Source organism: Homo sapiens, chromosome 7 (assembly GCF_000001405.40).
Source record: "Homo sapiens chromosome 7, GRCh38.p14 Primary Assembly".
Classification (NCBI taxonomy): domain Eukaryota; kingdom Metazoa; phylum Chordata; class Mammalia; order Primates; family Hominidae; genus Homo; species Homo sapiens.
Genome location: NC_000007.14, coordinates 18,579,610 through 18,597,233, shown reverse-complemented (window position 1 = coordinate 18,597,233; position 17,624 = coordinate 18,579,610). Strand labels below are relative to the sequence as shown.

General features: G+C 34.4%; 1 protein-coding gene across 39 annotated transcripts in view; it reads right to left on the bottom strand.

Moving 5' to 3' along the window:
- Window positions 1–17,624, bottom strand: part of HDAC9 (histone deacetylase 9) — a 915,592-nt gene that overhangs the window by 405,183 nt on the left and 492,785 nt on the right. For 13 of the 39 annotated variants that reach the window (NM_001321869.2, NM_001321872.2, NM_001321896.2 and 10 more), the window contains 4 exons: window positions 11,712–11,953; window positions 6,748–6,898; window positions 5,592–5,718; window positions 3,205–3,326 (listed from right to left, as the gene is read on the bottom strand). In NM_001321869.2, coding sequence (NP_001308798.1) covers window positions 3,205–3,326; window positions 5,592–5,718; window positions 6,748–6,898; window positions 11,712–11,953 — 642 coding nt within the window. Of the gene's footprint in view, window positions 1–3,204; window positions 3,327–5,591; window positions 5,719–6,732; window positions 6,899–11,711; window positions 11,954–17,624 lie in introns of all 39 variants that reach the window. The other 26 variants (NM_001321868.2, NM_001204144.3, NM_001321870.2 and 23 more) reach the window with 5 other exon arrangements.

Genomic DNA, 17,624 nt, shown 5'->3' with positions numbered 1-17,624 from the left:
AGGAGGAGAAGTCACTCCATTCTTACATTTTAAAGAAAAGTGAATTGGAATGGGCATGATTAGAGCCAACTTTTAATATAATTCCATGTTTCTAAAATGCCCAAATTCTAGGAGCAACTATCATTCTCCTAAGGGGAAGGAAGTAAAGGTCCACTTTGCGTGACAAAGGTCAGATTTCTGCAGGCAAATGAGGTTTCTGTAGTTAACTGTTCCCGGGTTATCACTGTCTGGGGAAGGTCCTAAAAGGTCAAGAGAGGTTTCAAATTGTGCTCACTGCTTAAGGGACATCCTAGGGCTATCTCAATCAATGTAAGATCATTAGGACTTTTCTAACTCTGATTCCAGTTTTACTCTCGTAAATCTTGCTTGCTAATACATATTGCTGATGTAGATTTAAAAGAAACTAAAATAGTATCATACATAGATCAAACGATAGGATACACTCATTTAACAACTTCTTTTAACTCTAAGATTGAGTTCAATGAAATCCAAGCAGACAAGAGAGGTTTAGAATCTGGCTCTAATAACAAAGCGTCACTCTACAGTAGCTGGGCTGGTGTTTACACTCTATGATCAATGACACTCTTCCAGATTTCATTTAGTATGATGTAGCTTTACACAAGCTATCTTAAACAGTTTCCCCAATCATCACATATGTTTTATTATGGTAAAATTTTATTGTTCGCTTTGTTTGTAAATACTTTTGAGTCACTGAAATACAATAAACATTGAAGTAAAAATTATTTGACAACATTTCAGTGTTATTCTTTTAGTGCAAATATATGTCTAAATTTTCTCATAATGGAATTGGAAATACACCAAATGGATTATATTTATAAAAGCTGAGTGTTCCACCTATTTTGTAATTAATGAAGGGCATCTCTAAGTATTTTAGATAGAGTATAGAAAGCATCTGTATTTAATTACATCTTATTTTTCTTAAACAGACAATTGGAATTGAATTAAGGAATATTTTAAAACCTCTATAGAGATACTAAAGTATTAATGGCTGTTCAAGAACTTTATTGCTACGATGCTTGAAAATGTTTGGTTTTACAGATCAACAGCCAGACACTTCATAAATATCAGATTTTCAACATAAAAGGAAGAAACATGAAATACTGATCAAATACAGAAAAAATACCTCTAGAAAAGACCAGGGATTTTTCACTATTATTATATAGCACATAATAAGGCACAGAAAATGTCTTGCATATTTGTACAAATCTAAATAGGGTTTGTAACATATATATCCTGAGAAGGATTTCTTTTTAAATTGTGTTGTGGATTGAAAAAAATCTATGAGAATAAATTAACAGCTTGTTATTTATTCTTCACAGAGGAAAAACCTTAAGCTGTTCGCATGGCAACAGTGGGACACAAAGTATGGGTTTTTAGTACTTCTCCTTAAGTATTAAAAATATCAGATTTTCTCACTGGGTGCTTAATGTTCCCAAATGCCACTTCTTTTCAAAGTCAGTTATCAGTTCTGCAGTCAGTTTTCAATCTCCCAGTGGTAAGGATATATTCAAAGGCTCTGTGCTCAGCAGGATAGAAGTCTTTCTCTGTGAATGTAACTATATCACTCATCAGTAACCTCCTGCCATAAGGGGAATCCATATTTTTCTTTCCTTTTAGTAACTCCTTAGATTCTTGAATGCCATTCACTGCCCTAAGACCTGGGGTAGTATCTGCATAATCTCAGTAAATAGCTCCTACTCATGCTACTCACAAATAAATGTCAAGCCTGCAGATCAAAGTCCCCACATTCTAAAACTCCTGTCCTTTATGGATCACTTTTCATAAACTATACTCATGTTTTAGAAATAACATAGAGGCTCACATTTTGCTTTCTTTCATCCTAGAAAAGTTTATTTATAAGACACTCTGATTTGCAGATAATAGGGTGGAATTCTGATGCAATACATAAAACTCAATTATCCTTGCCTTTGCATAGCCTTCTATTAAGGTATTTTATAATACTTATCATCTTTTAGTAGAAATGCAAAAATATTTGGGCTATTTAAATTAAAAAGCCACAGGTTGTTTTGCAATAGTTAAACATCCTTTCCTAGTGCCTTCAATATATGCTAGATGGCGAATAATAAATTCTTATTCATAACTGATTTTATTTTAAAATCTTCATTATGCCACAGGTAAATTATATGACAAAAAATAGCTTCGGCATGTGTTTTTACAATCTATATTCATTTTAATTTCTCAAAATTGCTTGGGAAAATGAATATAATTATTTGAAATCATTTTCACTCTGCAGATTTCATATATAAAACAAATAAATCTATACTTCTTCAAGTAGATCTGAGTCAAATACAATAGACCAAGCTATCTTACATGAATATCTTTTCAGATCAGTTGTGGAGATAAACATTTTTAAATTTACTACTGTCTCTAAAGAACTATATTTGGCAAACAACGTTGAGATTTAGAATAGAATGTACACAAATGCTATTTATATGTATATCTAGTTAAACATTTATTATAGCAGTAAAAGCATATAAGACATTAAATATATACATATCAGAATGCTCAGAAAGGAGATGAAGATGGAACAGCAAATACAATCCTTAGAGCCACAGAACTGTTTACTAAATTCTAAATAAAAGCTTAATTGCGCTATTTCCCCTAACTTCATGAGATTATCAGATATAATTTCACTCTGAGTTCTATTATAATCCATGAGATATTAGGCTAGTCACTTACTCAGAAGGTAGCTTTGGCCTTACCTGCTTTCACCACAAAAACAATTAAAATTTAAGGTTTGTAAAATATTTATTGGAAAAATTAAACTTTATTATTCTCGTTTTTGTGGTAAATGGTTGAGGTACAGCAGAAAAACAGGACAATGAAAGATATTACAGAGGCCCTATCTAATGGAGAAGAGTTAGATTTTCCGAGATACGAAATTTTTATTTTTATTTATTCCTAGTAAGAAAATAATTTGGCTAAAGTTCAAATATGATAAACTTTTAAACTGAAAAAGAGATATTTTGATTATGTCATGAATCAACTGATGCAGAAATAAGTAGGGTATGTGTGTGCATTGTTTGCTTATGCTGGGGGCAGGGGTGGGGAGGTATATTATCTACGACTCAAATCCTTTGACTTTCTTCTAGAGGTGTGGCAAAATGAAACTTACAGGTGTGTTACAGAAGAGCAAACAGAGTTCCTGTTAAACCAACTTACCAGTTTTTCGAAGGGGGAAATCATCCTTTGCATCTTGTGCTCCTGGTAATGTGTACTTGTAGGATGGAGATGTTCCACTAAGGGGTGGAGAGCTTTGATCCAATGATGTGTGGTGGGCAGCCCTAGAAAAGACAAGGAAGTTTCACTATTTACTTGGTAGTTTTTACTGCATATTGGTCAGCAATAATCAGCTGCACACGCTGTACACGTGCCTCAGCTATGTTTATGCTCTTTCTCCTTAGTGTATACAAACCATAGCCTCACATAACCAAGTTCACTGTAGCAGTATGCTATGGAATGATGCAGGGATCCTAAGGATGTCCAGCATGTGTTTGGTCATACAGTCACATAGAAAGTTTGCTTCACTAAAATAATTTACCAAGAGTCTGAGCTTTTGACAATTTGAGATTACTGCCTATGTTCTCTTAAGAGCCACCCTAGGGGAAAAGTCATCATCTCAATCCTTTCTAGTCAACAGTATAAAACAATCAAGGTAATAGTAAACATACGCAAGGACTTCATTTTAAAAAATTGCTAGATAGTACATGTGAGTACATGAGAGTAGCCTTTTTTACTGAAAAGACAGGATTGTGCCAACGGACTCCCATCTCCTGACTTCTGGGGCAGTTTCAGTAGTAAAGAATGGGGATCACATTCTTTAATATGAAACCAATTTTTTTAAATGTTTTCTTTTTCCTGGGTGAATACAATCTAAGAGATGCAACTGTGCTGCTGGAGAATAGTTTATAGGACTGAATATTGACTATCTAGTAGATATAAATATCTATAATTACATATGTAATGAAAACAATGAACAGGACATAGTATCACCATCACAATGATTGTTCTACCAGTATTATTTATTTAAATCATATATTCTTAAGACTTTATTGGTTTAAGGATATTTCTTCTAGCTATAACTGGCAAAAATGGCATTAAATTCAGATTCTATAAATTAATCGTTTGTGGTTATCTGCAGTTGGACTCTACTGAAGTTCAATTTCATAAAAACAAGGTAAATACTGCTAAGTAACATGTGAGAGCTATGCTTAATATTACCTAAGAGAACAGCTAATGAACTTTAACCGACAAATTCTTTGCATGTAGCTGTTTCTCATTTAATGCTATTATCTTTTCTTAGAACAGACTTTAATTTTGAATTATGAATTAGCTATAAATTATGTGTGTAGTTTTAGGTAACAAAATCGTGTTTCTTTTTAAATCATTCGTGATATTGATTGAATATTTGAAATTGTTTTTCAGAGATTTGTTTTTCATGTCAACTGATATACATGACAGAAATTATGAAAATCATTAAAAAGTATTTATAAAACATTATGGTATCTGTCTGTTACCTGTTTTGGGATGCAGAGAAGGGCGGATACCTATAAAATAGCCTTATAAGTACATTAACTCTTTAAATAGAACTCCCAGGCTGCTTACAATATTAATATAACAGAGTAATCAAGTACTATTCCTATCTTTAATGGTGTGAGGGATTGAAAAATATATAAGTGTAAAAATATATGGTCATTTGGCAAACACTTCTAAGAAAGAAATGAAACTATTATCTATTAGTTTATTATCCATATATGATTTGCCTATCAGTTCTTTGCCCTGAGTTTTAAAATCACCACATCCTCTATATTTTATTGAAATATTTGTGTATTGGACTTACAGAAATACAGTTCTATAAAAACCACAATACCACAGTGTATTATGTTGTCAGGTTGTGTGTCAGGAGCCAAGCTATTATTTTGCTGTCTGGGAAGAAATGAAGTGAGGTGGGCAGGGGTAAACTATTCACTGAAGACTTAGAGTTATTTATTTAGCAACCTCTCAACTTCCCTTCCCTACCCTCCCTTATCTTCCTTTCTTCCTTCCTTTTTTCTTCATTTGAGACAAAATTCTACTAGATTTTTGAAAATAGCTCTGACCTCCATCTTACACCAAGTCAAGTGTAATAAAATCACAATCTGCTAAACCTTTTGAAATTACTATATAGATACCAAATGCACCAGTTGAGAATGGAAAAATGCAAAATACAAATTTCTTTGCCCACCTCACATTTGTCAGTTATTCATTCATCAAAGAACATATATACTTCCTTGCCCTCAAGTTGATAAATGCTACCATTTATTTAGCACTTCTCTCTGTTATGTACCTTACCATGTTATTTTATAGGACCGTGCCAGCAACCCTAGAGGGCATGCACTATTATTTTCCTCTTTTTATGGAGAAGGAAACTGATCCTTAGAGAACTGAAGGAACTTGCCCACAGCCAGACAGCTGAGAAATGGCAGGCTAAGGATGTGTACCCAGGTCGGCTAAATACAGAACCTGTGTTCTTTACCCCAGGAATGAAAACAGCCAAACACTGAACATACGTGTACCAGAGCTTGGGATGGCGGCTCACGGAATGATTTTTTCCATTAGTTGGAGTGTCTTTCGTTGCTGATTTACTCAGTAGGAACTCTTGAAGCTTCTGCTTTACTTCTGTACTTGCCACTGCCCCTGAAATACACACACACACACACACACACACACACACACATACACACACAGAAACAGATGTTGATGGTGAGTTTTGTCCTCTCATGCCTCTAGAATATTTGACAAAGATTAAGAAGTAAAATCGCTGGTCACAGCACATAAAGTTTTCCTATTAAAAGAAGAAACCACAGTCCAAATATGCTTTAGAAAATAGTACAGTAATGCTTTATAAATACTACTTAAATTGCAAATTTTCAAAAGACTTTCAGCTATTTCTTTAATTACTTTTGCAAAGAGGGAATTCCCAAAATCAACTTTTTTAAGTTTAAAAAATACTGCAGAGGAACAAAACACTGTATTTTAATAATCAAGTTATCTTGAGGGATTAGATCCATATTAAATCCCTTAAACACATTAAAATAATCTTTTCTGAGTTGCTAGTTTGAAAACCTTAGTTTTTAAAAAAACCCTTTGAGCATTAAACAAATAAATATTGCTGACAATTCCAGTTCAAGTCATCAAATTTTAAACTTTGCTACGACCTGATTTTGAACTGACCTAATACAGGGGAATTATTTGGATCTGTCTCCCTCTTGTGGATAGTTCTTTTGCATGTGTTATGTCTTAAATCTTCTCAAAGTTTGAGTATGCCAAAACTAAATGGAGGCAAGGCTTTACTTAGAGAGCAATTATTACTTGGCCAGGAGTAAGGAAGGCATAGTCAGGAGATGTGGATACAAGCTGATTATTAAACAAGATGGCATATATTAGACTGCTTTAGAATTACATTATTTTTAAGGTTCAAAACAACAGAAATCAGCACCTTTGCCAGATAATGTTACGTTTGCTTCTTGAGACGCTCTGCAGACTCAATGATGTGAGCTGGTATGTAAATGTCAAAACTTTACAGTTGGGTCTGTAATCTATGCTTTTAATTAAACACAGATAATTTTGACGAGTCTAACCGCACTCTTTATCAGGCTTTGTTCTGAATAATGATCAGCTAACGATGAGGAAAGAGAGTCCATCGTTTACCCTGGTGCCTCTTACTTTCTCGTCCTCTATCTTTGCCTCTGAGAGGAGGAAGCTGCTGTTCTCTGCGATGCCTCTCTACTTCCTGTTCTTGCCTCTGCTGCTCCAGTTTCTGCTCCTTTTCTAGGAGTTCTTGTTGCTGTTTTATGGCTAGAAGTTCCTGTTGCAACTTGCGAGAAGAGAAAGACATGAGAGTGTGCAATTTCTTTAGGCTTCATAGTCATCACTGACCAAAACTGAAATGTTATGAGCTTTTGGAACTTGTTTGTATTTAGTTCATATTTGTACCCACTTTTTCTGTAAATCATTGAAATCTAAGGACAAGCAACTAATGCAGTGAAGGTCTTAACGTCATCAACAGGCAAGTTTTAGGTAGCTCCATTATCTGTGCATCCCTATCAAAACTAACTGTTAAATTCACTCAGGTCTTCCCATTTCCTTTAATTAAATCTTTAGTTCCCTTAATGACTTTTCTTTGAACATACAAACAGGAAAAGGTAGGGACTGCCCAGAAGCCTATTTTACAAAGTCCCTCACATTATAAATGAACAACTGAAATCTTCCATTCTTAGCCTAAAAAATGGTGTAAAAATAATCAACGCAAATACAGAATGGTGAGATATTAAATTAATTTGGGGGAAGTTTACCTGAAGTAAACAAATGCTAAAAATTTCAAAATCTTACAGAGCAAGTTCTCAATAGACTAATGCAATGTATATATTCATAATATGTAGAATATATTATATACATATAGTCTCTCAAAATATCAAAATAGCAGAAGCTTTATTCTTTCATTCAGCACATAAAAGCTTTTAGATTAAAGACACTGGTCAAGAAGAAACCACTTCCACAAAACTTCATTTTAATGCACTATTGTTTAGCTTTCTGAATCCCTTGAATTCACTCTCAAACAATGAATGACATGAATATGATGCATTCTTGCACTCTTTTTTATTTTTATTTTTATTCTTGAGACAGGGTCTCACTCTGTTGCCCAGGCTGGATTGCAGTGGCACCATTATAGCTCACTGCAGCCTCAATCTCCTGGGCTCAAGCGATACTCCCACCTTAGCCTCTTAAGTTGCTAGGATTACAGGCATATACAACCACTCCTGGCTAATTTTTTAAAATTATCATTTTTAGTGGAGACAAAGTCTTGCCATGTTCCCCAGGCTAGTCTCAAACTCCTGGCCTCAAGTGATGCTCCAACCTTGGCCTCTCTAACTGCCGGGATTACGGGTGTGAGCCACCTTGCCCAGCCTGAAGCATTCTTTTTTAATAGCCATCTTGAGATGTCTATTTCCACTCAGACTGAGAAATATATATCTATGAACTATAGTAAATGTGCACACTGAGGAGTAACTAAAGACCTTGAGTTCTCCTTAGGTTCTGACATTAGTAGATATGAAATCCGGACAAGTTACTAAACTACTCGGAGCCATACTTCCTCATATGTAAGAGAGAGAATATCTCTCTTCAGCCGCATATTCATAACGTACATAAAATTTAGTTTTTAAGTTTGAACCCTACTGATTTTAATTATTATTATTATAGGTTGGGCATCCCTAATCTGAAAATCCAAAATCCTAAATGCTCCAGCATCTGAAATAGTTTGAGCACTGACATGATGCCACAAGTGGAGAATTCCATACCTGACCTCATGTGATGAGTTCCAGTCAAAATGCAGGCACACAGCACAAAGTTTAGTCAGCTTCACCATGGGAAAAAAGACCCTTCCAGCCCCCTTTCAGCTGCAATATATTTTTTTCACACACGCCCAGATTCCCCCACATAAGCACACCCACAAAAGATAACAAAATGGTGTGTGTGTGGGCAAGACATGCCAATGGCATGTTCCTCACATTCAGACTCAGCAACAACAGTGATGCCAAACAACCAGAGATTGTCCACATGGGTGGCTGAGACAATGACACCTTTCCTTTCTGATGGTTCAATGTACCCAAACTTTGTTTGAAGCACAAAACTATTGGAAATATTGTATAAAATTACCTTCAGGCTATGTGTATAAGGTGTATATGAAATATAAATGAATTTTATATTTTTGACTTGAGTCCCATCTCCAAGACTCTCATTATGTACAGATATGTAAATATTCCAAAATCCAGAAAAAAAAATCCAAAATCTGATATATTTCTGGTCCCGGGCATTTCAGATAAGGGATACCCAACATGTGTTTGTAACTTTCAATACTAATGAAATTAGTAAATTTTGTTTTTTACATTAGGTGCCTAAAACTCTTGATTTTACACCAAAAAGTAATAGAACAAAAATAAAAAGCTATTATATGGAATGGCATCAGAGTCACTCTGGAGCAACAGGAAGCTAACTCTGTATATCAACCATAATAGCCTTATTACTCCCAGAAGGACATAGTTAGAAGCATTTCTGGTTACTCTTCATATTAAAATCTTTGGTGTTTTGGCTTCAATACACTCCCTTAATGGGTGTTATTATTCCATTGTAATGAAATAATATTCCATGGTAGCAGAAGGAATGCTTAAATTCTGCCTTACTGTTAAATTCTATATAGATACTTGGGTTGGTCAAATTAATTTGGTGCTTCACCCAAAGCCCCAATGTATTTGAACTTTAATCTTTCATAGGAATCTAGAAAAGCACACAATTTAATTACCACTACTATTCATTATCAAAGATTGCATGAATGAGGTTTAAAACAATAGAAAGAAATAAAACTTTAGCCCTCTATTGCTAGATGTTCTGGCCCATGAGAGAGGCAGGGCAACTTAAGAGCTTTGGAGGCAGACAGGGCAAGACTGTAAATCTTGGAGCAACAATTTATTGGCTATGTAGCCTTGGAAAGGTATCATTATTTTTCTCTACCTCAGTTCACTAGGTGGAAAAATGGAATAACAGCATCTAACTCAACAAATGTTGATTATTACAGAAGCTAACGATTCAAAAAGCTAATATAAATAAAGCATCATGTAATGCATCTTTCTCATAAAAATAAAATCTTAATGAAAAGCATCAACTTTTAGCTTTATCCATAAAAAATACAAGACAAAACAAAATAAAAATTCTAAAAATCAAAAAACTTCCTAATCTGAAAAAGTAATATTAATTATGTCTTTGGTTTCTAAGAAAACAAATTATTATTTTGGAAAATCATTTTAAAAGCTAAATTTTCCTTTTAGCTATCTCATAATTCTTTTTTCTCACAGGAGCCACTTTTCCAATATTTTCCAGATGTCAATAAACCAACACTATTGTTTTGCTTGTGCCAAATGAACAATTAATTATCTACTTGCTACTATTACCTTTTGAGTAAAATTAAGCAATAAATTTCTTTCTAAACAATTTATATTAACTTTATAGCTATCAAAGGCAGCAATATAAATGAAAAGAAGTATCTAAAGCAGTAACTTATCAGTATTGCCCTGTATTTAGGGAAACATGTCTCACTTAAAGCAGCAAAATGAACTACACAGTCCCTTACATCTTAAAGTATGGTGAAAAATGTACATTTTACTCATTTCTCTTTGCCATCTTAACATGCTGGAAGGAAAGAAACAGATCTAGATATCAATGTTTCTATTATTGTTTCAAAGGTCAAATTTAAATAAAGCTTCAGTATTCATTCAAAAATAAGTCTAAAAACTAAAGAAAGGCTACCCATACTTCAAAATGTAGCCATGAGCTACTGATTCCATTTGGGACAAAAGAAAATACTCTCACTTTAAGGTATTTTGTACATCAATAATATACAAGAGTTCTTTTTGGAAAGTTCACTACTAAAAGAAATAAATATATTTTATATCACTTGTCAAAGAGCCTTTTTAGGAATATACGATAATAAAGTTCTTTTAGGATTAAGAAACATCTTGTAAACCAAGTAATATAGAGAAGAAGATAGCATTTTTACTTCCTTAGAAACTGTCATATTAATGTGGTAAAATTACATACTAGTAACATCAGTTATCTGTATCAACCCTCTATCAATGTGCTTGTACTTGATATGCAAGTAATAAAGTTCCTATAATACAAAACAATAAAGTATGAGATAACATAATTTATTACATTCACAAATTAGCAAGTGTTTGTCATCTTTGAAAGTTAGATATAAAAATAAAATTTTTGTTGTAAATCTTTGCTGCTTTTCTGTCACAATAAATTCAAATTAAATAGCCTTGTTTCAACTGTCTTTGTCAAGAAGTTGCAAGATGTTTTACAAATAAAGCTAAAGTAATATTTATCTCTGAAGATACAAAATTTAAAAAAACAGACACATCTAATATTATTAGATAATAAAATAAGTTATTATTAAAAATTCTGGAATATGGATATATTTGTGCTAAAATAATTTAAACAACTTTAGTCTCAAATTGTCAACTACTCCCAAATACTTTCAATAAATTCTTATCTACAGTCTATAAAAACATTTGCACCAGTTTCTCCATTTATAACTCCCTTAAGCTTTTTATTATACTATTATTTTGAATGTGTACATTATGAGATCTTTTCTATAAGGAAGAGTCGGACATACTCAGAACATCTACTTATACACCATGTTTGTTTTTTAAAAACAGCTCTCTTCATATAAGGTGACTAATTTATCCTTTCTCACAAATAGTACATGTAGACTCTTCAGAAATGAAATATGAAATGGGTCTTCTAGGCTCATGCTTCTTCTTGGTGGAGAGCAGATGGGGCAAATGAACAAAATCACGTAGGAGAGAATCTAAAATTAGGATAGGAAGTTACTATTCCCTGCTATTGATTCTATGTGCTAAAGGATAAAGAAGGTCCCTCTGAGAAGCAAAACAGGTTTTTAACAGGTACTTACCCAAAGTTTTCACTAGTAAAATCACAATTCCCTTCAAGCCATATATCCATGTCTTAATCACAGTGAATCTACCCGCAAAGTGTTCCCATGGGCACTGTTCATGCCCACCACGGTGCAGACTCCTGAGTAAGGTCACAGACAAAGAAGCATTTGCTACCTTGATATGCTCCTGAAGCTGAGCCTGGTGCTGCCGTGTCAAGTTCTCATGCTGTTTCTGAAACTCTGCTATCAGAAGCTGCTTCTGGATTTGTTGCTGCTGCTGGATAAGAAGTAATTCCTGCTGCAATTGCTTCTCACGGACAACAGGGTCCACCACGGGCATCATCATCCTGAGGTCTGTCCTTAGGTCTAAAGGTGAGATGGGCTCCAGGCCCACAGGAACTTCTGACTTCACATCCACTAAAGAACCAGAAAAAAAGGGAAATGGGGTGGGGGAGGGTAATAGAAGATTGGAAATTAGCACATTGATTTGGAAACAAATAAAAAGTATAAGACCCTGTACAACAAATTTTATGCCAATGACTCTAGCCATTTCTTTACAATGATGATATAAAGTCATTTGTACATTAGTTTTGATAAATGGGCCATAGGCTAATTTTCATTCAGCAATTTGCACTCTGCCATGAATCCTCCACAATTTCCTTTTACAAACAGGTGACTTCAATTGTTTACTGGTATCAGTCATTCATAAAACTTATTCTACTGAACCACTAACAAAAATCAAGTCAACGAGGACAAAAAAAAAAATGGAATTATGTTGAGGAAAAGATGCCCTAAGAGAGAACTTCCACCATGACTACATTTGTACACTTAAGAACATCTTCCTTTGTAATCAGCGTCAGAAGATATCTTCAACTTTACAAAGTAAAGGTTGTAATATAACGTATTTGCAGCACTATTGGATGTACCAAAGACAGAATAGACAACTGCATGCTAAAATGTGGAAAATGGTAATTAACCACAGCAATGGTGCCAGATCCAAACAACAAGGAGTGAAAGTAGCCAAGTTTCTAAGTCCTGATGTTGAATTGGTAATAATCTGTATCTCAGCTACCTCATTCCTAAAATAAACAAGGTGGAAAAAGTATGAGGAAACTTAAAACAAGTATTTAATCAAACCACTGGAGTAAAAAAGATTTGATGATCTGAGAATAACTACAGATGATAATATTTAAATTTATACAAATTAAATTAGATAATAGATATAAAATTCTTAGCAAAAACTCTTAGTAGATAAGAATGCTGCTTTCAGGGCCCGGCGCGGTGGCTCACGCCTGTAATCACAGCACTTTGGGAGGCCAAGGCAGGCAGATCACGAGGTCAGGAGATCGAGACCATCCTGGCCAACACGGTGAAACCCCTTCTCTACTAAAAATACAAAAAATTAGCCGGGTGTGGTGGCGGGTGCCTGTAGTCCCAGCTGAGGCAGGAGAATGGCGTGAACCTGGGAGGCGGAGCTTGCAGTGAGCCGAGATCTCGCTACTGCACTCCAGCCTGGGTGACAGAGCGAGACTGTCTCAAAAAAAAAAAAAAAAAAAAGAATGCTGCTTTCTAAAGGAATAGTTTAAGCAGGAAAACTCACAGACAGGATATCCAGGTGTACCATTTATTTATTGTTGGTGTCCATTCTGACATTTTGAATGACCAGCATCCATGCCAAACTGGTTGTTAAATATTTTGAGTATGACCCTTACCCACAAGAATCGGGAAAATTCTGTAGTTCAGTGTAAAAGGTTAAGCTAAAGACAACAGGAATTTTGGAGGGGAAACTGTGGCAAACTGGATTGCATGGCTTTTCAAAAGAGGCCAGTCACTACTCAGATAAAACCAACTATTTGTGGGAGTTGTGGGAGAAAAAGAAAATACAGATCCAGTGTAGACAGAAATAACTGTTAACTGAAAATTAAACTGAAAGATTTTTTAGGCTGCTGGAGGGCTCACTTTTTCGTCCAGGCTGTAGTGCAGTGGTGCAATCATAGCTCACTGCAGTCTAGAACTTCCTGGCTCAAGGGATCCTTCTGCCTCAGCCTCCCAAGTATCTGGGACTTTAGGTGCATATCACCATGACCAGCTAAATTTTTCTTTCTTTTTTTTTTTTTTATAGCTGGGGTCAGGGCAGTGGGAGCTGGGGTATTATCTTGCTATGTCGCGAAGGCTGGTCTTGAATTCCTGACCTCAAGTGATCCTCCTGCCTGAGCTCCCAAGTTCTGAGATTATAGGCATGAGTCACAGCACCAGGCTCTTCAAAAGCTTTAAATACTCCAGGAACCAAACAAAATGCTTCAGTCTTTACATGTACCAGTTTTCAAATTCTGTTCTATAATCTAAATGCTTATTTGACTCTTTCATGTGTGTAACATTGAAGATGTTATTAATTTCCCTAGGCCTCTGTTCCCTCATCCGTAACTTGGAGATAGTAACAGTAAGTACTAATAGCATGTAGCACAGCCCTTAACAGATGTTTGTTTTTGCTTTTTTATTATATGAAATGGAAATTTCTTATATATTAAAATAAACCATCAATAGTAAGTAGCTAACAAAACAAACATATTAGAAACAAATATAAAAATAAAATGGCACACAATTTCTACTAAACATTAGAAAATAAAAATACTAAAACATCTAGATCAAAACAAATAAAAGAATGCAACAACTGAAAATCACCTTCACTAGTAAAGAATTGCAAATTATGAATCAAAATAGAGCATCATTGATTATTATCATATATATGACCCACGTGTATACATATATGTGTACAATGCCCCATTGTATAGGCTAAGCGTATGACCAAAGAGACGATTATTTATGGCAAGTGGAGCTGTCAATTGGTACAAAACTTATGCAAAACCAATTTGGTAATACGTATCAAGAAGTGTTACATATTTCTACCATTTGATTCAGGTTTGCCAACTCTAGGATTATATCTCCAGGAGACAATACTGAATAGGGAAAAAAACAGTTCAATGTCGTATTATTTACTAGAGTTCTAGTATTGTTATTGAAATCACCAACTACAAGGAAATGTCTCAGCAAAATATGTCGCATCCATTTGGTAGAAAAGCTACGCATTCATTAAAAATAATGTTTGTGGGAACATTAAAAAAGTTGTCACATTAAGTGAAAAAAGTGATATTTACACTATGATAACCATTTAAAAAATATATATATATATAAGCAATGTAGTCAAAATAGATTTATCAAGCCTCTTAAAGTCCCAGGCTTCATTCTAGATGTTGGGGTTTGGTATTTTAAAGAAAGACAAAAATTCCAGCCCTTATCGAGCACATATTCTACCACGGTTTTTAAATCATATTAGTTTTTAAATTCTAATAGCAATGACTGGTGATGTAGAGAACAGAAGATGGCTGTATTTTAGACGGAAATATGAATGATTCTCCCTTTACTTTTCTGTATTTTTCCAAATTGCATCTAATGCTCTATTACTATAAGTAACTAACTTAAATTTGCAGATTCCAGTTTGGGAACTACAAAGTTAATTTTCCATGTGAATTTAAGAGTTATTTTCAGTGAGTAAAAAAAGGCTAACAGAAATCCTGTCTACAGATGTTAAGGCTTCATATACTTAAATGTCCTTGCTGGTCATCTGAGTTGAATGTCCATGTGCATGTGCCTGTGCCTGTGCATGCAGACTGATATCAATCTTGGGTTGCTTACATTGGTTATTTTGCCATGGATTGACCAGAAGTTTGCATTGATGGTACTTTATGTGTCACTTTAATGAAAATGGGAAAATAATTTATAAATGAACTATAGTTTGGTGGACATTGACTTCTCAAAGATGATATTTGTGAAAGGAAAGAAATTAATCATGACAAGTTCAGATGCAAATTAGAATGATGGCCTGTAAGATCTCTTAATTGTAGCACCCAATGTAGAACTTTTAGTCAAGGCTCTGGAGTAACATGAGATTTTGAATATTAACTAAAAGACTTGGCATAATTCCAACCAAAAGCAATGGCAGTTAATGATATATTTCATTTTTACATTAAAAAGGCCAAGCTATAGCCTTCAGCTTTTACATGGAAATCTCAAAAAACAAAGGTCAGAACTTAACCCTATAAAGACAAAATGTAAAAATTCAAGAGACCCTGGAGTCTCTTCTTGCTGGCATTCTTGTTATCCATGAACTACAAACATCAAACCTCTAAAAAAGCTTTTTTAAAAAGATAAGAAAAAAAGTCCTACAAGTCTCTGAAACAGTTATTGTAAACCTCAAAGGGTAATTTGACTTCTTAACCTGCTATCCCAACAGAAATGATTGCGTCTAACTGCTTGCCTTTGTTCAGAGACTAATCACTAAATTGTGAAAAATCACCCTCAACTTACAAAAACTGCTCTTGATTATAAATAATTGCCCAAGACTGAGAGAAAGTGGCAGGCAAGATCCCAGTCTTTCATCCAATTTATTCAGCAGCAATCCACATTCCATTTGTCTAGACTAAATATAGCAGCGTTTATACAAGAAATCAATAGTGCTTGCAGAGAGGAGAGCAAAGGCATGAATATTTCATCAAACTCAGAGAGAAATGGCAATCAGCACACTGATGGTTCTGTGTAGGTCATCTTTGGCCTGCTAGATTAGTTCCTGTTACTTGGACAATAGCTCATCTCTGCCTAATCATAATCATATCATAGCCATTCTTTCTATTTTTAACATTAATTGCATTGTGGGTGACAAAGGCTCATCATATTCCAAAAGGAATGTTGGATTTTTCTTACATCTTTTGTGACAGGCTAATAAGCCTCCCCAGGAGAAATAATAGTAACACAATACCAGGACTGAGTTTCAACAAGTTATGGTCACTTTTACATCCCAGTATGTTTAAGAAAGGGCATTGTCCATAGCTGCCATATTATCATAATTAGAAATCAACTTACAAGGAAAAATTAACTGCCATTTTTAACAGTGGATAAATAGAATCATCTCTGTTCACAACATTCCTTGTCTGGGAACATGCAAATTCCTCAAAAATTACTTAGAACAGGTGGCCAGTGATGCATATGTTATTTTCGAAGGAATCTGATGACAGCAAATATTAGTATTCACATTAGTTGTAAATAAAACATGTTTTTTAAACTGATCTCAAGACCTTGTGACACATGTAAGAAAGGACTACGATGAAGCTAGCTTTATTTGGACTCATCTTGCTTGTCTGAGGTTGCAAATAAATGCAAATGTATGCTATATTTATTATATTATATTGTTCATATTATTATGTTCCAAATGCCCAGTCAGAACTTTTCCACATAAATATTAACTAGTCTTAATTATCACCTTGCAAAGTCCTGCCCGTTCTTGACAGTGTCTGTCTTATTTGTTCAATAGTTATTCCTTCTTTTTAATGTTCATAAGCTCCTGTGATTTTCAAGAAACATTTGAGTTTTTAGTGAACTTGTAAATGAAAGAGCTCTCATTTCAAAATAAAACCAAAATCCCAAATCATGTAGGTGTTCATAATAATTACATTTATTTGAGCATGAACATGAACATTCACGTTTAGCTTTCAATTTCTGTAACAAATATTTTTTAATTCAAGGGTCGTTAAAGAGTTCATTCAGAGTACTAAGGATAATCTAGTTACCACAGAGTATTTCTTACTTCTTCACTTTAGATGCTGCTATTCATAGTATAACAAACAGAATTTTCATATGTTCAAAAACCGGACTCTTTCGTTGCTACTTTATCAGCTGCCTTAAGCAAGATGCCAACCATTTTAATGTTTTAAGTAAACAACTTGCAAGCCTTACGTATGAAAAAACTTTAAGAATGCGCAATTTTGTGCATATACAACCATATGGCCCTTCTCAAAGCAGTAGAGTTCAAAATAATAGGTTTTCACACACACACATACACACACACACACACAGGCATGGAAAAACTCTCAACACAAATTGGTATATGCCAATTATTTAGTTAAGTTTTCCACTGAAAAAGGTGCTATAAAAATTGAAAGCATGTTTAACAACTTCAGTTAATATACATAATTACAGAGGCCACAACTTGGTTATATCAGCAATGCTGCCCAGAGCCATTTTATTCCTACGTTAT